A 23,612-nucleotide genomic window follows, 5' to 3' on the forward strand; every position below is an offset into this window, starting at 1 on the left:
TTTTCTGAGAATTTTGTTTTCATTTTGATTTTCCTGCTCCCCGAACTACAAAGCCTTGGTAGGTTTGGCAGTTTTAATTTGTTTTCTATTTTGAATAGGGAAAGAAATCTATTTTGAATTGGAAAAGAAGGAATGTACTCTATTAATAGAGATATTGAGTTTCAAAGTGAGAAGCAAGATTGCTTTTAAAATTCAGTCATGAAGGCCGGGCTCCATGGCTCACGCCTGTAATCCCAGCACTTTGGGAGGCCGAGGCGGGTGGATCACCTGAGGTCAGGGGTTCGAAACCATCCCCGGCCAACATGGCAAAACCCCGTCTCTACTAAAAAAAAAAAAAAAAAAAATTAGTTGGGCATGGTGGCACATGTCTGTAATCCCAGACACTTGGGAGGCTGAGGCAGGAGAATCGCTTGAACTTGGGAGGCAGAGGTTGCAGTGAGCCAAAATTGCGCCATTGCACTCCAGCCTGGGCAACAAGAGCAAAACTCCGTCTCAAAAAATAAATAAATAAAAATAAAATTCAGTCATGATCTGAAGAAACTACTGCCCCTAGTAAGATCTAGAAATCAGTGGTCTACATGATGATGGTTTTAAGCACAACTTTAGTTAATCAGAATCTCCTCCATATATTTTGCATTAAGCAAAACTGTGCTTTCCAACAGTTAAGAAAAAATTAGAAAACTTAATTACAATGAAAATGTCTAACATCTGTTTGTCAGTTGCAGTTTAGAGAGCCCTTTCACATATTAAGCAAAAATGATCTAGGGGTGCCTTTGAGGCAGATATGGGTCTTATTTTCCCATGAGGCTCAGGGGCACATGACTGGGATACAGCAAGGCCTGGAGGAGAGCTGGGTTTCTCTGACTCCAAGCTCAGGCTCGAAGATGTTAAGCACATTCAACGAAGAGGATGCACTAGCACACAGGAGGAAATGCCTTAGAAATCACAAGAGCATCAAGGACAAAACGATTTATTTTAAAGTGAATACAGTATATGAAAACAGGAGAGCATGGAAAGTATATATCACCATCCCAAAGCGGAATATAATTAGGCTTCTAAACAGAGAAATACACTAAGTAAATGTTCACATATTTTAAATATGTATATATGTACAGATATTAAATTAGGCAATACTTAATACAACTACTCAACGTAAGTGTTTTGAAGACAATAAATTCTAATTTCCCTTAAAAGTCTTATCCTCACATAATATGAATACAAATGTTACCAGAAAACGGTCCTGATCCAGACTACAAGACAGAGTTCTTAGATCTTGCAAAAGAAAGAATTCCGGGCGAGTCCAAAGCAAGTTCATTCAGTAAAGGAATAAAGAATGGCTACTCCATAGGTAGAACAGTTTGGGCTGCTGGACTAAGGATACTTATAGTATTCTCATACTTATGGTTATTTTTTGATTATATGCTAAACAAGGGGTGGATTATTCATGAGTTTTCTGGAAAAGGGGGGGACAATTCCTGGAACTGAGGGTTCCTCCCCTTTTTAGACCATATAGCCTAACTTCCTGACATTGCCATGGCATTTGTAAACTGTCATGGCACTGGTGGATATGTCTTTTAGCATGCTAATGTATTACAGTTAGTGTATAATGAGCAGTGAGGATGACAGAGGTCACTTTCATCGCCATCTTGGTTTCAGTGGGTTTTGGCTGGCTTCTTTACCGCATGCTGTTTTATCAGCAGGGTCTTTGTGACCTGTACCTTTTGCTGACCTCCCATCTTATCCTGTGACTTAGGATGCCTAACCTTCTGGTAATGCAGCCTGGTAGGTCTCAGCCTTATTTTACTCAGCCTCCATTCGAAATGGATTTGCTCTGATTCGAATGACTTTGACGCAAACATTTCAAAATCAAACAGTAATCTACATTAGTAATTTTCATAAAGTAACTTTCTTCTTATTAAAAAAGTGCATTTTATTGTTTTAAGAACAAATGGCTAGATAAGATACACAACCAAGATAATATGATCTGCTTCTGAGCATGCATAGGGAAGCTGTAAAACTTTAGTAAACCTAATGGAAAAAGTGTAGAATCTGCATCTCTCCACTAGAGTAAAAAGAGAACCACACACACCTACAACACACGTCCAGGCCCCATCATATTCAGCAAGAGATTTAACAAGTTCATTAACTGATAACCCATTCCAATGGTAAGATATGCATTCCCCTCAAATTGCAAGCTTCCCCTGGGTATCACAAATCTTGCTTATCTTTTAAGTGACTAAGAAAACTGTGACAGTTTTTTACTATTTTACTGTGTTGTTATATCATTGCCAAGCCAACCAACACAAAAAAATTCAATTAAATAGTTTTCAAAAATAATCATATAAAAAAACCCCAGAGACTGACAGGTTGACCATAAAGATATAAAAGAGTGATTCCCCCAAATGACCAGAAGCCAGTAAAGCTCTTGTCAAAAGAGCTCTAGGGTCATGGGACACATGAGGTCAACTTCCCACTAATGTGCCTTTGACAGATGCCTTAGACTTTAGATCTGAAACCTACAATTTTACACGGATGTAATTAACAAAGACAAGAGAACTCAACTTCAATCCCAAACTTCACCTGCTGAACTCAATAATTACATTGGGCCATTCACCTGGCCCTATTTTAGTTTTCTCACCAAGAAAATTCTAAGAGGGTAACCTTTAAGTTCTACATTTTTATAACATTCCCATGGATATGAAAGATGAGAAAAGAGTGAGAAATAAGGTCTCATTTTCAAAAAACAACAACAACTTTTTAAACTTAGCGGAAAACAATTACATAAGAACTTTATGATTAATATGAAAACCCGCAGAAAAAGATTCTGCTGTTGACAACTCCAACACTGAAAAGCTATATTATAAAAAGTAGTAATTACTGTTAGGAAATAGGAAAAGTATTTGCCCAAAGGGCAGAGTAGTAGCACTTTGGACAAATTTTAGTATTAAAAATATTAATAAAGCCTCGCTCTTCTCAATTACAACAATCTCCCTAAACTAATAATTTGTCTAGGTAACAAGTTTTCAAAAGTAACTGGTCAAGTGACTTATAAACTGTGTTTACAATTAGTGCTACTGTAAACTAGTAGATAAAATCACACGTTTTCATGATCAGTACAATAAACCATACTAGAACTTCTGTAAGTGGTCTTGGTGACAGCTACGCTATTATGTTAACAATTGCTGCTTTAATAAAGTTAAAATTACAAAATGCCATCCAAACATTCTTTATGTGATAGTGATCGTGCTGAAAAACACACCTGACAATCAGCCACAAATATGGAGAAAGATGCCAGAAAAACACAAACAGCTATTAAGAGCTCTCAGGAAAAAAATAATAGTGAGAATGCTGAGAAAATAGAAAGCAGTATTAAAGCACAAAATCAAGCTACAATAGTTGTAGATTTATGTATTCTGAAAATAAATTATTCTGCTTTTTAAATGTATTTATATTCAGTGATTCTTGACTGAATTATGAAAGGTCCTCCATGGAGAACTGATCTTCCCTATGAAATGAAACTGCCCTTTATGAGATTAAACAACATCTAGACCCAGATATAGACGTAATTTTTACTAGCTTTGATGACTAGTAACCATTATAACTAAACAGTTCTAACAGTAACTAAATAAAACTAGCAGCCTCTTCCCCTGGAAGAGTAATGTCTCAATGGTTTGGCTGAAGTACAAGCTGATGGCAAAAGAACTAGCAAAACAGGAATTTAGGATTAAACATATGAATAATAAAGCCTAAAGCTACCCCATTTGGAACTATGTACACAGGTTTATGGTCTCTATGACAATGTAGATTTAGTCAGTCCTCCATATCTGTCAGTTCCACATCTGCAGATTCAACCAACCTCAGATTGAAAATAGTAGGCGGAAAAAAAATCCATCTGTACTGAACACATGCAGATATTATTCCCTAAACAATACAGTGTAACAAATATATAAGTAACATTTACATTCTATTAGGTATTCTAAGTAATCTAGGCATGATTTAAAGTATCCAGGAGTATGTGTGTATGTTATAGGCTAATACTATGCCATTTTATACTAGGGACTTGAGAATCTGCAGATTTTGATATCGGAGGGAGGTCCTTGAACCAATCCCTCGGGGTTACTAAGTAACAACTTGCCTCATTAGCATGAACTTTAAGAAACATTAATATACCTAACACACTCATTAAGAGAAATTAATACAGCCTAATAGGATAAGTATTTACAATGCATAACAGCCACGGTTCAAATATTAGCAACATCCAAATACCCATATGTACATAAATAAAACTGTATGTGCTTTCAGTATTGATGCCATATTATTGGCCAAAAATCAATCACAAATAGATAACATATGCTTATATTTACATAAACTAAACTTATCAAATTTGTTATTTGGATGCTAATGAGCATCACATATTCAGAAAACTTCTAACTGTATCTGTTAATAATAAAATATGTTTAGGTGATTATAAACATTCTTTAGAGTTAGCCAGAAGTCTATCTTAGAAAGAAAAAAAAATGGCTGTAAACATTAAAGAAATTCTTTAAAATCCCAAATTCCCATTGGCATAACCTCTATGAATTAACATAAACACACTCTCACAGCTGGTGCTCAGTTGGGTCTATGTGTCTGTTTGAAAGCAAGCACACCAAGATGGCCTGTGTCCCTGTGCCTCATGCTTCCTTAGCTTTTCTTGGCCCTTATGCCACCCCTAATATGCTCTTTCTACTTGTTGTTCCTGTATCTCTAAGTATGACCCTCTTTTCCTTCTTTTTCCTGGGGAAGGAAGAAACAAGAAAACTAACATTTATTGAGCACAAAATGTTAGGGTTTCTCAGAATTGGACTCTAGGGTTTCATTTCTTTTGCTGTACTGTCCCCTTAGAGGAGATGAAATATAGCATACTAGTTAAGAGCATGAACTTAGGAAACACATTGCCTGGGTCAAATCCTGGCCCTTCTACATTCTAGGGGTGACCTTGGACAAGTTACTTAATATCTTTGTGCCTCAGATTCCCCCCACGTGGTAAAACAAGCACAGTAATCATAGTGTCATGGTGAGGACTGAGTAAACAGTTAAATGAGTTCATCTAAAGCACTTCCAACAAAGCCTGGCAAAGAGTAAGCCCCCTATCAGTATAAGATGCTATTGTTCCCCTAAGTATGGAAATAGAAGTTCAATGGGAATACAAATTCAATTACCATTAATGTGAAAACCACCTATTTGCTGATGACTCCCTGTAGTACATCTCCACTCAGACCTTTTCTCTCATATCCCACCACTGATTGGCATTTCTACTTGGACATCTCACAAATGTCCCAAAAGTAACATGTCCAAGACGAAATTCTTGACCTTTTCCTTCAAACCCATTCCCTCATCCATACCCCTAGTCTTCACTATCTTGGTGAATGCCAGCATTATTTACCCAATTAGAGAAGCCAAAAATGTACAAAGTATTCATAACTCCTTCCTTTCCCTCAATCCAAGCCCAATTCATAAGTCCTATCATTTTCACCTCCAAAATACAACTCAAATTGACCAATTTCTCTCCATCTCCACAGCCACCGCCTTCATCTAGGCCAGCAACCCTCTTGCTAGGTCCGTGAACAGCCTCCTCATGGGTCTCTCCACTTTTGTCCTTGTAGTGCAACCACCCATTTTCCCAAGAGCAGATTTCTCAAAGTAAAAATTTAATCATGTCACTCTCCTCCTGTTGAGCATTCCTCAATGGCTTCCTGTTGCACTGAGAATAAAACCCAAGCTCCTTTTCAAGATCTGGCCCATGCCCATCTCACTTTGATGCACCTCCACCCTCTCTTCTTTCAACATGCTAAGCTCTGTCATACTCTTCTGTTCGGCTGACATCTTTTCTTTCTATCGGTCTCAGCTTCAAGGCTACCTCCCCAGAGACCTTTCCTGACCCTACTTAAAGAGGGTATTTCCTTTTTTTTCTATCTCAGCTTGTTTCTTTCCTGCAGTGCACTCATTCACAATGTGCAATTATTTTCATTTATTTACCATCCCCCCTTCCAGAATGTAAGTTCCATGAAGGTAGGGGTGACAGAGTCTCATTCTACATTTTACCCCACCAACTAGCATCTGGCTTAGTAGACGCTCAATGATATGGTATGACTGACTATGAATGAACTTACTGTGCTATTTTACATGTATTATCTCATTTATTTTTTACCATAATCAGACAAAGCATTTATTATTCCCATTTTAAGGGTGAGAAATATTAAAGGAGTGTAGAACAGCTCGAATGCAGAAACAGGATTCAAATGCAGGCCAGTGTTGATATGGCTATGCTGCTTCTACCACACCACATTGCTCCCCCCATCTAGTCCCCAACAGCTAGATTCAACTCTCTGCCTCCACCCAGTTTCTGACCACTTCTGCCTCTAAGAAGTCGCAAGTGTTTCCTACCATATGGGCTTCAAGGTTCTCGTAAGCTGTAGAGAATAAAAGCTGTGGTCCCAAATGACACAATTTTGCCTCCCAGGGTACAATGGCCAAAATCTGGAGACATTTTCGTTGTCACTACTGGGGAGATACCAGTGGCATCTAGTAGGTGGAGGCCAAGGATGCTGCTAAAATCCTGCAGTGCACAGGAAAGCCCCCTCAACAAAAAAATTATCCCACCCAAAATGCCACAATGCTGAGGTTGCAAAGCCTTGTCAATAAGGAACCAGGTTATAGCAGGTGTACCCTTGCCATTGACCACAGGAACCAGGTGGGCAATGGGAATGAGTCAAACAGGATTAATGCAAAGGGGGGAAAAGGTAGTTTTTATCATCCACTTTTCCCATACTCAGGTTCTTGTTTTATTGTTGTGTATATAGTATCTCATGTTAGTCTTTCACCACAGACATGCTTTGTTTGCATGTCTAATGGGTGTATCTTTTACTACCACAATTGTTTCCATGACGGAGCACTGGCATACATAAATAGACCAACAGACATATAGACTTATGCATATATGTACTGAGTTGCATTGTGGAAGTGTGAACAGGTTTAATATAAAATGTATTGTTACAATGTCAGCTGTGGTCAAAAAAGTTTGGGAAACATTGTCAAGGTTCTTACTATGTCACAGCCACCTCTGCATGAGGAAGCTATCAGGTTGAAACTTCTAAAAATAAACATGTCAAGAACCCCTCTTTACAAATATTAGCACTAAATAAGTAGCAAATAATGCCCCACAATAAGAAAAACATATATTTATGAAAAGAGACTTTTCAACAATGCTTAACCCTGCCCAACAGTGGAAAGACCATGTTGGAAGGCAGTGAGTTCCTCATCAGTGATTAGAACCTATGGAGGAAAGCCCCAGACAGTTTCTAACTCTTGAAAATGTGTGTTTCTATCACGGAGCTTTAAGTTACAAAATTACTTTCTAAATAGAAATGAATCCATTTCTGTCTAGCTTAATATTTAGTTGTTATAATTGTTCTTTTTTTGATCAGTTACAAATGAACTCTTGATGAACAAAAGAATATGCAATGCAATGTGGAAAACCAAACAGCTATTTTAAAGTCCCACATTGAAATACTGTATAATGTCAGCTCAACTCTCACTCATTCTGGGAGGGGGGAAGAAAACAGGAAATAAGGCAGCTTTCAAAAATGTCTAAACTCTGCTCCTCTCTGCAGGATCTGAGTGGTTTTTTGACGCTGTGGCAGGGCATAATCGTGGGGAAGAAATAGGTCTGACATCAGTTTATGACGGTACAGAGCCAGAGAAAGAAGCAACCCAGGTCCAATCATTCAGCAGAATCATCTCTCAAGGTGCCCTGGGGCCTCATGCAGAGGGTTAACAAGGACAGAAAGTCTCTAGACCTGGGTCTGTTCATCCAACTTCCATATATCTGATGGCCATGGTCCAGGGTACACCCAAAAATACAATCTACCACATTCACTGTACCTCCTTTCAATGCTCAAAGGGGCAAGTCAAGCAACGTGCTATACTGTTACATTAATACAAAACTGTATTTAGGTATGGGAATTACTAAATCCAAAGGTAAGTCATCCAAATATAAGTCATGCATCCATCCAAAGAAGATTCAAAGGAAACGCAATCAAAAAAGAAAATATGCAGAAAATAGCAATAAATATCATTATTCTAAGATTTGTTATTGTAACATCCCTGAAGAAGCAATGCCATTCTATATTTTACTACAAAGTGGTTAATGTTTAGTCATTCAATAAAAATGCAACTCCATTCTGTCATCAGATCTCAAATCAGCATCACACACTTTCTTTTATTACAACAACTACAATGTGTCAAGTGCTCTAAACACAAAGTATCTTCCCATGTATCACCCACACCTTTTAGTTATGATCCTTAACAGATCCTGTGGATCCCTGTGGAGTAAATTCGCCATGTGATAACCCCCCACTAGCAGAGAACGAAAGACTCACAAAGGAACCTGAAACTTAAACCAAACTGAACCGCTGTGTACTAGATCTGAAGGCTCTGCCTCATCCACTGTATCGTGCTGCCTCCCCAAGGTGAGCTTTTCTAACCTGCATACTAGCCAGCTTTTCAAGCTTGCTACTGAGATAAAAAAAAAGGGGGCGGGGGGAAATGTGCTGGAAACAGACAAACAAACAAACAAAGAAAAACAAACTTGGTTTTTCTAGGCTTGAATCGGCAATGGGGGGAAAAAAAGTACCCTAGGAACAACCTTCTTGAGCCCATTAAAACATACAGAGATGACTGGCTTTTTATGACTGAGTGGCTTTTATTTGTGGCTGTGATCTCAGGGGAAGCCAATTTGCTGTGTCCTATTCCTTGACTTATACTGGACCCCAACTCCTGGCTAAGGGAACTTTGAGTCACCAAGGGAATCTGAAAATATACTAAGGGATAAATCAACAGTAATTAAATAGTTCAGTAGCGAAAAGCCCACTGAGGCATATAGAAAAAAGCAATGTAACAGCATTTCACTAGTTGACTTAGAAAAATTAGGCCTGTTATCCAAACTGCTACAACTTGCCTTATCAAAATTCAACCAGGAAACAGAGGAAACCTGAAGTCAGTCCGAAACATACGAATGCGTCAACTTTGTTTTTTTTTTTCAGCACATCATTACACATCATCCATTTGGTAAATGGCAGAGGGAGGGGAGGAGAGCCCTCCTCACCAAAGGTTCCAAGGGCAGCAGGGAGGATTAAGGCTCGGGCGCCCCAAACACAACACAACCTAGAAAGTGACGTGTCGAGGGGAATCACAAATAAAGTGCCACCAGCGGCGTTTGCGGCCAGGAAGAAAAAAGTACGCTAAAATTTAATTATAAGTTTAAGCAACTCTCTACGACATGGAACGTGCGTTTGCTTTGAGCTCCACGGAATCGTTTCCAAGCCAAAGCAAACCATCCTGGCGGTCAGAGGCCGAGATAACGGGAAGGCGGCCAGTCGTACCAATCAGCAGCGCTCAAGTCTCGTTAGCGCAGACCTGCTGCCCGCGGCCAGGCCGGGCAGCTGTTGATCCCCGGGCCATTCTTTTAAAGCCCAGGCAGAGCGCGGGTGGGAAGCGTGCGAGGAGAGCTGAGCCAGGGAGTTGCGGGGAGGAGAAGGTAAGAATGTCCCAGAGAAAAAGTCGGAGAGGGCTGCAAACTGGCTGGTCCGGCTGGCGGGGCTCGGCGCGGCGGAAGCGGGAGGAGAGGGGAAGGAAGGGGAGGGGAGGGGAGGGGAGGGGGCCAGCGCCTCAAAGTTCCGCGTCCCGGCGGCGCCGGCGCTAGGGCTGCTCACCTAACAGGAGCGTGGTCCAGGTCCGGCCGCGCCCCGCGCGCCGCAGGCCCAGCGCCCAGCGCAGCCGGGCGGCCAGGCGCCCCCCAAGGCCGCCCCCGGCGGGCGGCGCGCCGGGCTCGGCGCGGGGCCCCTTCCTGCCCGCGGCGCCCTTGCGCCCCGGGGACAGGGGCGCGCGCTCGGGCCCCGGCTCCCCGGCGCCGACGTCCGACGCCCCCCTCAGCGGCGACTGTGAGGCGCGGGGTGGCTGGGGCGGCTTGGGAGCCGCCTCCCGGTGCTTGTTCCGCGCCTGCAGGACCATCTTGGCATAGTCGCGCCCGCTCGCTGCGCGCGCCCGGACGGCGGCCAGAGAACGGCGGGCTGGCTGGGCGGCTGGGCGCAGCTCACTCTCCAGCGGGCGGGCGGGCGGAGGGTGGAGGGCGGGCTCGTCCCTCCCCGCGGGCCGGGAGGCGGGGAGATCGTGGAGGCCGGGCGGCTGCTGCCTGGCTGGCAGTACCGCCGGGAGGCGGCGCCGGACTTGCTAGCCCGCCGCCGTTGCCGCCGCTCCGGTTGTCACGGCGACCGCGGAACGCCGGGGGGCGGGGGCGGGGACACCCTGCGAGCGGCCGCGGCCCCGCCCCCGCCGCCCCTCTGCGCCGGACGCGCGCTCCAGGCCGGCCAGCGCGCACGCGCGGACTTCCGGCGCAGGCGGGGCCCGACCCCTCTGGCGCCCGGCTACCCACACCTCTTCGGCGCCCGCGCGGGGCTCGGCCGGTGCGAGGACGCGGGGGCGGACGGCCTTCCGGAGGCGGCCGCCCTTCCATTGTGGGAGTGATGGGGCCGAAGGAAGAGCCCTCTCGGGATCGGGGCGCTGATTCAAGTTTCGGAGCCTGTTAAGGCTGCGCTTGGAGCCCGCGCAGGCGAGACGCGGCGGGGCAGGGAGAAGGCGCCCGGAGCGGCCACTTAGGGGCGCTGTGCGTGCGCCCTGGGCGCCTGGTCGGCCCCACCGATGTGAAGCGCGCGGGTGGCAATCAAGTCACCGTCTCCGTTTACTCCCCGCAGTGTGGTCGCGCAACTTGGAGCGCAGCCCCTCACTCACCGACAAGAAGAACGGGTGCGACCCGATTTAAGATAGTAACAGAGTATTAAAATAGCAGCCTGGAATCTCATGGGGAGCTGATAAGGGACGAGGCACAAGTGTAAACTGAAGACCAGGGTAGGAGCCAGGCTGAAGGTGATAGGATGGATTGGCTGGAGCAGGAAAGATCATCAATAAGTACATTCAGTTTGTTACACTTGCTGTAACCTTGTTGCTTAATAGGAAGCAGGAAAACTTGGCGTTGATAAGATAGGAGATTTTAGTCGAAAATATGTTTTCTTTTACATAGCAGAATGCACGAGTAAATTAAACCCGGGAAAATTTAGAAACCCAGGTAGATCCCAATTCTCCCTCCACCCCTGCATTCTTTGCACACAGTCTTACAACAGCATGGATTACAACTGGGAGGTTCCTTTCCTGGCCGTGCCCAGTGGCTTGTTCCAAAAAGTTGTCTTTAAGTCCCAATGTTGTAAATCAAGGCCCATCGTTCTGCTTATCTCTATTGTAATTCCAGGGACTTCACGTGGCTTTCTCGCTCTTTGTTTCTTTGCCCAGTGATTTCTTTACTAATACCAGCATTCGTTCATTGTTAGCCTTTTTAAGAGACAGTGGATTATTTTGTAAAGGGAGGGTGTTTGCCATGCTAATTAATACTCCCTCATACCCTGTCTAGTTTATGAATTTGGATTTTCCAATGTCTTTATTGGAGCAAAGAACAACTATTTTTATACACTGGTTTAAAAAATAATGGTTGAAAGTAGGATGCAGAAGGCTTGGATTCTGAAACATTGTGTCAGCTGAACTCAATGCTACCTCTGGGATTAATGTTGAATGTATTCAGTTAAAAGAAAGCTAATTCAATGCCTATTAAAGATAATACGAATAACTGGCCGGGCACCGTGGCTCACGCCTGTAATCCCAACACTCTGGGAGGCCGAGGCGGGCAGATCACGAGGCCAAGAGTTCAAGACCAGCCTGGCCAAGATGGTGAACCTCTGTTTCTAATAAAAATACAAAAATTAGCCAGGCGTGGTAGCAGGCGCCTGTAGTCCCAGCTACTTGGGAGGCTGAGGCAGAAGAATCGCCTGAACCCGGGAGGCGGAGGTTGCAGTGAGCTGAGATACGCCACTGCACTCCAGCCTGGGCGACAGAGCGAGACTCCATCTCAAAAAAATAAATAAATAAAAATAATACAAATGATGGATTTTTTTTAATGATTAGAAAGACGCATGGAAAAAGAGGTTCAACATTTGAATTATTAGATTGCTGTGTGTCTACTTTATGTGATAGGCCCTGAATTCAGGAACTGCCTCCCTTAAGCTGGTACCGTTTGTACCAGGAAAACACTTGTTGAATGAGTGAGTGAATGAATGCAGTTCCACAAGTGCTTGTCAGTTCCCCTTCTCGGCTTGGCAACCATGCGGAGAGGGGCAGTGTGAGGTATTAGTTTTTTGGTTTTTTTGTTTTGTTTGTTTTTTTCTTAAACACGGTCAATTTAGATCCAGTTTGCAGCCACTACATTGACCCATACCAGCCTTGACCAAGGTATTATACCTCTTTGAGTCTGGATTTCTTCATTCTTAAAATGGAGGCAACAAAAACATCTAGTTCACAGGTTTGTAAAAAATAAGACAATGTGTGTAAAGCATCTAACAATTACATATATCCAAGTAGTTGCTCAGTGAATGTTCAAATTGTCTGGATGTTGGTAGTTGCTCAATAAGTGTTCAAAGTAGTGGATGACGTTTAAGGAGAGTGGCAAACTTCTGTCCTCCCAGAACCTGAAGTTGACATTCCAAGTTGGGGTATAGCAAGGGGAGAATGCCACTCTGAGCGGGAGAGCAAGAACAGCCACGTGATCTTTAAGCCAGGCCTGCTGGGCTTCAAGCTTCTCAGCTCTCTGGGCAGTTGATGTGCCTGAATGGTTTCCTGCTTTCCACAGATGCTTTACAAATGTTGCCCATCTCATGGGTCCTTAGGCCTGGATAAAATAGTAGGCAACTCCTCGTGCCCCCTCCCAAAAGGGAGGCATTTCACACAGGAAGGGTGGAGGAATGGAAACCAGAACAGTCATGGAAGATTATGTGCCAGATTTCATTTTATCCTTAGTACAACGAGATCCACAAGAGCAGAGAATGGGAATGCAGTTAATTTCTATATGTATCTGTAGACCAGTGCCTGCCACACATAGCGGTGGATGCTAAAAAACAAAAAATCTCTGGCAAACTGAAAGCTGCATATTAAAAAAACATTTTGTACATGGATGATCTATGAACGGATCTAAGATTATAATGAAATTAAGCATTAAAATTACCAGCTTTAATGTGCTTTTTTTCTGGGAGTTCCAGATGCACCAGAAAGGTACTTCCTGCATGATGCTATAGAAATACTGGGTCAGGGCAGACAGATTTTTAAGGACAGGAACCTGAAAGGGCAACCACTTATAAAGAATTGCTGCTGCCCTGGCCCCTGGGGTGCAAGCCGAGTCTTTTTCTCACTACAAGTTACACTTTGGGCATTGAAATAAAAATGTTTAATTAAAAAGACATATCTTTTAAACTTTGGGGATGGAGACAGAGGAGATTATAAGGAGGAAATGAGCATAAAATAAAAAGCAAGAACATAAAATCATAGAAGAAAACAAGATGTGGAGAAATAAAGCTTAGTGATAATAAGGTATAGGAATCAGGGAAACATTGTCAGATGGGCAATGAAAAAAGTAAATTTGGTCAAGGGAAGACTATGTTGGGAACCAGTTTTCTTATGTCTCCACATTGGCATTTTAAAGGCCCCATTTAGAACTTCTAAATATTCCCCTTTTCCTCCTACTTGCTCTCCTACCCATAGAGTGACAGCTGAATGAGAAATCCATGACATTTATTTGTCATTTCCTTGAACTAGGTCACTTGATCACTGTATTGGAAAAGTGTCCTAGGGTCAAGTTCTAGAATCTGACATTTGTCTTGCTAAGCAGTTGCTCATTCCAAGAGAGGAACCTGCATAATTCCAGCACACTTCTTGGAAACCTAAAATGGGTGCAACAAAATATGTCTGTAACATTCTACTTTCCAAAGCTCCAGCATTAACTTGACACTATATTATAATATATTCTTTTAGTCTGATGAGAACAAATGTAAATTGCTACTCTATTGCTCTTCACATTTTATCTTCTGTCTTTCCTGGAGCTGACCTTGTAATTTAAACTGTTCATGCTCCAATGAGTGTTCCTGAGGAACTCAGAGTTCATTATTAGGTCTAGTTATAGTGCATCATCAAGAACCACTCTGTTGCAGAGAGGCATGTCTCTTTAGAATGTAATTCCTGTTGTTGAGGGCTTACTGTGTCTTTAGTAGATATTAGAGACACTTAAAATTCATATACTAAATCCCCATCCCCAAGGGCTTACAGTTTCATTGGACAGGCAGGGTAAGCTAGAAAAACATATATAGCAAAATATGTGATTCAGAGAATAAGTACTAAAAGATTTCCAAAGGGAAGAGATGATGGCCAACGTGATTTAGTTTTCAGGGAATAGGTGAAATTTGGTCTAGGCCATGCTGGAAGGCTAGATTTTGTTTTAATAGAAGGGAACATGGCAAAGGAAGTGTAATCAGGGAGCTATATATTTCTAAAAACCCTTGCTCAGTGCCTGGCACACAGTCGGTGCTAATATGAACACTTTAAGCCTCTTCAGATGAGGAAGGAAGGGAAGAAACAACTAATGTACGTTTTAGGAATAAGTGAATGGATTAAAGAGTGAATGAATGAGGTAACTAATGAGTGGAACAAGAAATGCCTAGACTACCCCATCTGAAGCCTGGCTTTCAGAGTTCCCCAAATCTAATTGGGCCAGAGCAGGCTTCTCCCCCAAGGGTACTTAGTTCCCCCTACTATGAAGGTGGCTTTAGGAATACTGGGAGGCAAAAATTCTACCTCTGGCCTCCTCTTTGGGCCAGAACTTGCTTTCCTCCAGCTTGCTTCTGTTGACTCCTTTTCAGAGGCCTGAACCTTCCTCTCACCTGCCCCCAGACACAGGAAGATTTGGGACCAATTCAGTTGGACACCGTTTGGTCAATCTCCTACCTCCATTATCTAGGGTGGGAACCTGGATGTATCACACAATGTATCCTCTGACTCCTAAGCTGTTCCCTCTACTCAACCTTGCCTTATGCTTCCTGGGGTCAGCGATCTGTTCCTGATACACTCAGCTCTTCTCTGTAGCTTCCACCCCTTCCCAGAAGACCCTTCTCCTATGACAGGTTCATTCTCCCACAGCTCCACTCCCTCCCTCCCCAAGCCCTCTTTCTCCCTCCTGGAAAACTCCTCTGAACTCCTTTTTATCTCTGCTCTTTGTCACTAGTGTCTTGTGCAGACTGCCCATTAGCTCCCCCTTGACCTCACCAGCATTGGCCCCAGTCCTTCCAGCTCCTACCAGTGCTAGGAATGACTTCAACACTGAGCCTCTCAGCCCCTTGACATCCTCATCTCCAGGGACCTGCACTCCCACTTCATGTCATTGACCAATACTTACGGTCTCACCTTGCACCATATCATCACCCCAGTCTGGCTTTGCCTCTGCATTTTAAAATTCAAACATCCAATCCTCTACTGTCTCCAAGTCTGTTTGGTATTCTGTCTTCATCCCAGGGCCTGTCACTGCAACTCCCTCTGCCGGGATCTTTCCTTGCTTGGTCCGTCTGTCTCATCCACGTGGCAGAATGTTACTATCCAACTTTGGATCCGTACCCATGCTATTTACTGGAGTGCTGGAGAAATCCCACAACATAGAAGGCAGGAACCCTATGGATTCATAGTTTCCATTAGCAACTGGATCCCACATACTGCCTTCTACATTCTCCTAGTTCCATTCTCCCAAGAAGATACAGCAAATGTCCACTAGTCTCTTAAACCTGCTACCATGTTACCCACTCCCACTCCCCTAAACATGGCCTTGCCTCCTACTCAATGGAGAAACTGGGCACCATCAGAAGGAGCTGCCACATACCCTCAGACTCACCAAACAGTCTGCTTCTTACCCCAGTGTAAGCACTGAACAGGCAGGTGGGTGTATGGGTCTGAGACTGAGGAGAGCTGGCCTGTAGACACAGGTTTGGAAATCTTCAACAAAAAGACAATAATGAGATCACCCAGGGGATGTGTGTGAGGTAAAAAGAGCCTAGTTTTTGAACTCTAGAGGACATCGATGTTTGTGAACAAGAGATATCTGTAAGGGAGACTGGAAAAGAGCAGCCAGAGAGATCACAAAACCCAGGAGCATGTGGGTCAGAGAAATCAATGGAAGGAAGTGGTCAGCTGACATGATAATGACTGGCGTGTCCTGTGAACCAGAAACATGGAGGTCTTTAACCATCTTTGTTAGAGCAGTTCTGTGCAGTATTAGATGAAGATGCCAGACTTCTGTTAACTTGAGTGTGACTGGAAAATCATTCTGTGGAAAGCACAAGGACTCCTAGAAGCCTCTGAGGAAGCAGAGATAGCAAGTATAAGGTACTCTGCCAAGGATGTCTATGCATGAAGGAAGGAGAGAGATCTAGTGGTTGCCTTGGGGAGATGCTGGTTTAGTGGAGAGTTCTAATGAAGATAACAGCCATGTCATTTGGGCATGCTTAAGACTGTAGAAAGGCAGCCAGAAGAGTGGAGAGATGACCAAGCAGCTAGTTAGTAGAGGGAGCACCATCCCCTGGAAGAGAGGTTGGCTGTGTCCAGAAGAGGGGCTCCTCCTTGTGATGGGGTGTCTTTTAGTCACCTGAAACCCCAAAGCCCAAGCCTGCTTTTCCTCCAGTCTCCTTACTCCAGCAAGTGGCATTACCATTCCCCCTATTCCTTTATCCAGGCAGTCATCCTGCTGATTCTGTCTCATTAATGGTCCTCAAATCAATTCATTGCTTTCCACCCTCAATGCCATGATCCACAGTCATTTTTCCCATGGTCTTCAGCAGCAGCTCTAACTGACCTCTTCGCATCTTCTCTTGTTGCCCATCAATCTTCCAGAGAGCTGTTTCCAATATACAAATCGAATCCTGTCACTCCTTGTTTTGAAAACCATTCACCACTTCCAAATCTGTTGACATGGCTAACTAGGCCTTCAGGATCTATGACACACACCCTCTTCCTGCCCCTTCTTCTCCAGCCTTGCCTCTCACCATTCCCCAGTGCCTCTCACCATTTCCCAGTGCCTCTCACCATTTCCCAGTGCCCCTCACCATTCCCCAGTGCCCCTCACCATTTCCCAGTGCCCCTCACCATTCCCCAGTGCCTCTCACCATTTCCCAGTGCCTCTCACCATTCCCCAGTGCCTCTCACCATTTCCCAGTGCCTCTCACCATTTCCCAGTGCCTCTCACCATTTCCCAGTGCCCCTCACCATTCCCCAGTGCCCCTCACCATTTCCCAGTGCCCCTCACCATTCCCCAGTGCCCCTCACCATTTCCCAGTGCCCCTCACCATTTCCCAGTGCTTCTCACCATTTCCCAGTGCCCCTCACCATTTCCCAGTGCCTCTCACCATTTCCCAGTGCCCCTCACCATTTCCCAGTGCTTCTCACCATTCCCCAGTGCCCCTCACCATTCCCCAGTGCCCCTCACCATTTCCCAGTGCCCCTCACCATTCCCCAGTGCCCCTCACCATTCCCCAGTGCCCCTCACCATTCCCCAGTGCCCCTCACCATTCCCCAGTGCTTCTCACCATTCCCCAGTGCCCCTCACCATTTCCCAGTGCCCCTCACCATTCCCCAGTGCCCCTCACCATTCCCCAGTGCTTCTCACCATTCCCCAGTGCTTCTCACCATTTCCCAGTGCTTCTCACCATTTCCCAGTGCCTCTCACCATTTCCCAGTGCCCCTCACCATTTCCCAGTGCTTCTCACCATTCCCCAGTGCCCCTCACCATTTCCCAGTGCCTCTCACCATTTCCCAGTGCCCCTCACCATTCCCCAGTGCCTCTCACCATTTCCCAGTGCCCCTCACCATTCCCCAGTGCCTCTCACCATTCCCCAGTGCCCCTCACCATTCCCCAGTGCCCCTCACCATTCCCCAGTGCTTCTCACCATTCCCCAGTGCCCCTCACCATTCCCCAGTGCTTCTCACCATTTCCCAGTGCCCCTCACCATTCCCCAGTGCTTCTCACCATTTCCCAGTGCTTCTCACCATTTCCCAGTGCCTCTCACCATTCCCCAGTGCCCCTCACCATTCCCCAGTGCCCCTCACCATTCCCCAGTGCCCCTCACCATTCCCCAGTGCCCCTCACCATTCCCCAGTGCCCCTCACCATTCCCCAGTGCCCCTCACCATTCCCCAGTGCCCCTCACCATTCCCCAGTGCCCCTCACCATTCCCCAGTGCCCCTCACCATTCCCCAGTGCCCCTCACCATTCCCCAGTGCCCCTCACCATTCCCCAGTGCCCCTCACCATTCCCCAGTGCCCCTCACCATTTCCCAGTGCCTCTCACCATTTCCCAGTGCCTCTCACCATTTCCCAGTGCCCCTCACCATTCCCCAGTGCCCCTCACCATTCCCCAGTGCCCCTCACCATTTCCCAGTGCCCCTCACCATTTCCCAGTGCCTCTCACCATTCCCCAGTGCCTCTCACCATTTCCCAGTGCCCCTCACCATTCCCCAGTGCCCCTCACCATTTCCCAGTGCCCTTCACCATTTCCCAGTGCCCCTCACCATTTCCCAGTGCCCCTCACCATTCCCCAGTGCTTCTCACCATTTCCCAGTGCCTCTCACCATTTCCCAGTGCCCCTCACCATTTCCCAGTGCCTCTCACCATTCCCCAGTGCTTCTCACCATTTCCCAGTGCCTCTCACCATTTCCCAGTGCCCCTCACCATTTCCCAGTGCCTCTCACCATTCCCCAGTGCTTCTCACCATTCCCCAGTGCTTCTCACCATTTCCCAGTGCCTCTCACCATTTCCCAGTGCCCCTCACCATTTCCCAGTGCCCCTCACCATTTCCCAGTGCTTCTCACCATTCCCCAGTGCCCCTCACCATTCCCCAGTGCCCCTCACCATTCCCTAGTGCCCTTCACAATTTCCCAGTGCCTCTCACCATTCCTCAGTGCCCAATGCCCTCTCTTCCCTGGACATGCACATATATTGTTATCTTGGATGGCCACCCTTTTGTCCTGCCCAGGCCCTGCCAGTTCTCCTGGATGACTCTGGCTCAGTCTTCACATCTCACTTAGAACTCAGATCCTGCAGGAACTCTTCTCTTCCTGTAACCTAGACCTTCCCCTGTCATATCTCCTACCACACTGTTTTTGTTTTGTTTTGTTTTGAGACGAAGTCTCGCTCTTGTCCCCCAGGTTGGAGTGTGATGGTGCAATCTTGGCTCACTGCAACCTCTGTCTCCCGGGTTCAAGTGGTTCTCTTGCCTCAGCCTCCCGAGTAGCTGCGATTACAGGCGCGCACCACCACACCCAGCTAATTTTTGTATTTTTAGTAGAGACAGGGTTTCACCATGTTGGTCAGGCTGGTCTCAAACTCCTGACCTCAGGTGATCCACCCACCTCGACCTCCCAAAGTGCTGGGATTACAGGCATGAGCCTTACTTACCACACTGTTTTATTTGTCTACTTATTTGTCTGATTTCTTGTTAGACTGTAAGCTTCTTGAGACTGTTATGGGGTGAGGAAAGTGGAATTGGGCTGAGAGAAGTTGAACTTCAGTCCAATCCAATAGGGAACTCTGGAGCTAGGATGCCCCTTCAAACTCATTGCAAGTTGCAGTAAAGATCCCAAACCTTTGACATTCACATCAACCTATTATCAGTGCTGACTGCTTCCAGTGAGCGGGAGTAACCGCGGGAAGGCAGCTCCCTTCAGCCAAGAGCAATTGCCAAAGAGGGACTGAGTTGGAAGCCCTCAGCCACCAACACCCCTGTCATGCTGAGGGGAGGAGGGCTTCAGACCTGAAGGAGGAATCTGGGTGGCCACCACAGCATCTGCTACCAATACCTTTGGTGGCTCAGGGCCACCACATATACCATAGGTGCCTATTAAATCTTTGTTGGTTAATGATTGATTATGTGATTAAATGAATTAATTAAATCACAGAAAACAAGTTTAATTACGTTAAATGACTCGAGATTTAGGGCCTTAAAGAAGGGTAAATGTTTTATTTAGAAATAAAAAACTAGTGAAGGTTCTTGAGCAAAACACTAATGGATTTTAAACAGGATTTGAGGAACATTGTGCAAGTAGATATGTTATGAGGGAGTAAATTTGTGACGTGGGTGGTGTGGATGGCTGAGATGACAGCAAGAATGTGGACGGGAAGAAATCCTAGGGGCTGGGAGGCTGCTGATTTAACAGGAAGGATGAGGTATGGCACACCTGTAATACAATGTTTAGAGCATGACAGGACAAATATGAGACCAGCTGAAAGGTTAACTCTGGAAAATATGTATAATTGTACTTGACCTCATTACTATTAATAGGTTCAAGCAAAGATTCTCCCATTTTGAATATATTAAGTAATAGATTAGATGTAAATTCCTTGAAGGCAATACTGCATCCCCAGTGCCTAGGGCAGTAGCTGCACACACTACATGCATAGTACATTTGTTGAATAAATAAGTGAATCAAATCTTGACTGACAGAACTCTAATACAGATTCCTAATGATTAGGAAACAGATTGGTGTAAGTCTAGACCTTCAAAGTATTCACTGTACATTTCTAAACTATAGTTACTTTAGAGTAATCTTGCAGATATATTTTAAAACTAAGAGATTTAGTTGTTTTACTTACCAATCAGGCATTAATTCAATTCACCCGCCCGTCCACCCATTGCCATGAATCATGGTTTGTTCTTAGGAAATGAACCTTAAGGAAATAGCTGGAAACATTTCATTGCCATGGCAAGATGACCTGAAGCACACTCTGCTCAGCAATGCTGGAGTGGGTGAACTCCCTACTTTTACTTTTGCCAGCCAAGAACTCCCTGTTACTACAGTATCCAGTTTGTAGCAGGCAACAGATTAGGGAGGAGTTGCTGATAAGGAGTCTTTTGCTTTTAAAAGAAAACTAACTGACATGAATTCCAGCACCTGATTTTTGCACCTGAACTATGAACATTGTGTCTGGAGGAGTCAAGGCTGCTCTGACAAGAGCTGAAGTATAAAGTGCAGTGAAATTGCGCTCTAGCATTGGCATCTTGCTTGCAGAGCAGTGTACACCATGCTAGATTTCTAGCAGCTTTGGGAGGAATATGCCATGTGTGTTCTGTGCAGTCTCAGGAGGAATCAAAACAAGTGATTCCCAGTTGCCATTGGCCCTGAGTTAATGAGAGAATTGGAGGATAGAAGATAGAAAAAAAAAAAAGAGCTTATTCCCATCCTTTCTGGCCTACCCAAAATGGCTTCTTTTATGGATGCAATGGACAAAAGAGGAAGTGGCATCAGCTAAGCACACAGAGGAAGAAGTGGCATCAGCTAAGCACACAGCCCAAAATTCCATGGTTGGTCCATGGACTTCCACCCATGTTTTGAGGGTTTCCACCTCTGGTTGGGGGTGACTGGGGTTGCGGGGCTGGGTAACGATATTAATGATATTTTAGGGCCAGTGTGCTTTTCCTCATCCTGAGCCTCTCTCAATACTCAGTTGTTCAATGTGTGGAAGTAAGAGAGGGTTAAGTTGGGCCTCTGGATTCCCCCAAAGAGATGCCACAATAATACCCCCCAGTGATTGTTTCAAATGATGTGTCTTGCTTTGTGCGATCAGCATTTAGTCACACTTGGATCTTAAACAGCCTTGAGAGCTAGTTGGAACTGCCCAATCTATGCTTATCATAGCACTGCAATTCACACGCAGACTTGGTGTTTGTTCTCCTTTCCTCATCTCTCATGAAAAAAAAAAAGCACAACTAGGACTGTAAGAACTGACACACAATTCCTTCAATGTCAGCTTCAAAGTTCTAATCTGCAATATTATTTTCTTCATGAGAATTAGACTTGCATGGAGAATCTGATGTTAGTTACTTTACATAATGCAGACAACCATGTAATACAAGATTCAGCCCTCCATAGCAATCCTGAACAGCCAGAGAATGCTTGGCTATCTTTGAAGCCCACTCCAGCCAAAGTGGGTAAACAATGAAATGATGGGATGCTAAACTTCCACTGTTCAGTGTGTTAAATGCAAACGTTCAAAAAAATTAATTTGTCTCACTCCAACCTTATGTATTCTGAGTTTCTTTTCTGCTGTGACTATTTTGGACAAATGCATGCAATCCAGAAACCATGGAGCAAATAAGACGATTAAAGGAGAAAGAGTATAGCGAGACCAGGGGACCAAGGACCTTAACAAAGGCAGCCCAGGGAATGAAGACATGATGGAGGGAGAGGAGGAAAGCTAAGGGATGGGCAGCTCATTGGAAGCTGGAGGCAGAGGTGACACTGATGTTTGGAGTCCCTCGTGTGGCTGGGTATGATGCCTCAGGGAAACTTCTCTGGAGCCCCAGAACAGGCCACTGCTGAACCCCAAGCCTGCATCATCCCTTCACCTAGTTTATTCACTGGGATTCCAGGCATAATTTTATTTTAAAGAGGGCAATGCTGCTATAAAAAATAAAGGCAAGCAAAATATCTAGGAAGCTTGCTTAAGATGCGCTTCATCAGCTCCTGTCCCTAGAGAATGAGTTTCAGGTGAGGTCTTTGTCTGCATTTCTAGCCAGAGGACTGTGATGCACACGGATCTTGACCACACCTTGCAAAATGCTGGCCTGAAAGGTGGTTTAAGGGTCATTACTCCAAAGGAATCAGTTCTGAGTGTTTGGAGGTCACACTTCTCACTAACTTAAGGGGTTTTTTTTGTTTTGTATGTGTGTTTTTATAGATATGGAGTCTCACTATGTTGCCCAGGCTGGCCTCAAAATCCTCGGCTCAAGAAATCCTCCTGCCTCAGCCTCCCAGAGTACTGAGATTATAGGCATGAGCCACTGCACTTGGCAAAGGTTTTTCAATTTTTTTTAACTTTTTGATCCTGTATTCCATTTTTTGAGGACAAATATTTTCTCATATTCCTCTATTAGGAATATTTAATAATCTATACACTTGTGAAGGACACATTCAGAAAAAGTAAACAAAATTTTAAGAAATCGTGGGAAAAAAAAGAGTCGTATTTCCACAGTTTATCCTTCATCCTTTTTTTTTTGCTTTTTTTTTTTTTTTTTTTTTTTTGAGACAGAGTCTCACTCTGTTGCCCTGGCTGGAGTGCAGTGGCGCGATCTCGGCTCACTGCAACCTCTGCCTCCCAGGTTCAAGCGATTCTCCTGCCTCAGCCTCCTGAGTAGCTGGGATTACAGGCGCCCAGCACCATGCCTGTTTTTTGTATTTTTAGTAGAAACGGGGTTTCACTATCTTGGCCAGGCTGGTCTTGAACTCCTGACCCCATGATCTGCCCAATTCGGCCTCCCAAAGTGCTGGGATTACAGGCGTGAGCCACTGTGCCCAGCACCCCCCCCCTTTTTTTAGAGTCATATTTTGGAGGAATAGCTATTGAATGTCCATCATAATTCTGTTTTAGTAGTTTAAGATGAATCTTGGAAACAAGTCTTAAAATTTTTGCCAAGAGAATGAGGTAGGTAACAATAGAACATGTACTATTTATAAAACTTTATTAAGAGGTTACACAGATATATTATTTTGGGATCTGTGGAGTTACACTATTTCAGAGCTGGTGTCATCTAACCCTTTTTTTGGAACCTGAAAGTGGGGGACAAAAGGAGTAATGACACGCTCAGTGGATACCCATAGGCCGCTGCCTCTCATC

At 44.8% G+C, this 23,612-nt stretch overlaps 1 protein-coding gene and 1 long non-coding RNA gene across 4 annotated transcripts in view, besides 4 other annotated features; one reads left to right on the forward strand and one right to left on the reverse strand.

The window, feature by feature from the left end:
• Nucleotides 1-10,697, reverse strand: part of DPY19L1 (dpy-19 like C-mannosyltransferase 1) — a 109,161-nt gene extending 98,464 nt beyond the window's left edge. For 2 of the 3 annotated variants that reach the window (XM_011515246.4, NM_001366673.1), the window contains exon 1: nucleotides 9,753-10,141. In XM_011515246.4, the coding sequence (XP_011513548.1) occupies nucleotides 9,753-10,050 (298 nt within the window). In that variant the 5' untranslated portion in view covers nucleotides 10,051-10,141. Of the gene's footprint in view, nucleotides 1-9,752; nucleotides 10,142-10,473 lie in introns of those variants that run through there. The other variant, NM_015283.2, reaches the window with a different exon arrangement.
• Nucleotides 187-887: an enhancer, noted in NCBI's record as "H3K27ac-H3K4me1 hESC enhancer chr7:35067143-35067843 (GRCh37/hg19 assembly coordinates)". NCBI's record gives its function as "activates a minimal SCP1, AML or CMV promoter by ChIP-STARR-seq in primed H9 embryonic stem cells {active_cell/tissue: H9 hESC(primed)}" and the evidence as "EXISTENCE:reporter gene assay evidence [ECO:0000049][PMID:30033119]".
• Nucleotides 9,442-23,612, forward strand: part of LOC105375228 (uncharacterized) — a 74,297-nt gene continuing 60,126 nt past the window's right edge. The window contains exon 1 of the long non-coding RNA XR_001745162.3: nucleotides 9,442-9,577. This is a non-coding gene — a long non-coding RNA (uncharacterized LOC105375228). The remainder of the gene's footprint in view (nucleotides 9,578-23,612) is intronic.
• Nucleotides 9,831-10,000: a silencer, noted in NCBI's record as "silent region_18093". NCBI's record gives its function as "represses an Ori minimal core promoter by ATAC-STARR-seq in GM12878 lymphoblastoid cells {active_cell/tissue: GM12878}" and the evidence as "EXISTENCE:reporter gene assay evidence [ECO:0000049][PMID:35858748]".
• Nucleotides 10,031-10,700: a silencer, noted in NCBI's record as "silent region_18094". NCBI's record gives its function as "represses an Ori minimal core promoter by ATAC-STARR-seq in GM12878 lymphoblastoid cells {active_cell/tissue: GM12878}" and the evidence as "EXISTENCE:reporter gene assay evidence [ECO:0000049][PMID:35858748]".
• Nucleotides 10,751-10,980: an enhancer, noted in NCBI's record as "active region_25838". NCBI's record gives its function as "activates an Ori minimal core promoter by ATAC-STARR-seq in GM12878 lymphoblastoid cells {active_cell/tissue: GM12878}" and the evidence as "EXISTENCE:reporter gene assay evidence [ECO:0000049][PMID:35858748]".

The sequence above is a fragment of the Homo sapiens genome, chromosome 7 (genome assembly GCF_000001405.40).
Source record: "Homo sapiens chromosome 7, GRCh38.p14 Primary Assembly".
In the NCBI taxonomy this organism is placed as follows: domain Eukaryota; kingdom Metazoa; phylum Chordata; class Mammalia; order Primates; family Hominidae; genus Homo; species Homo sapiens.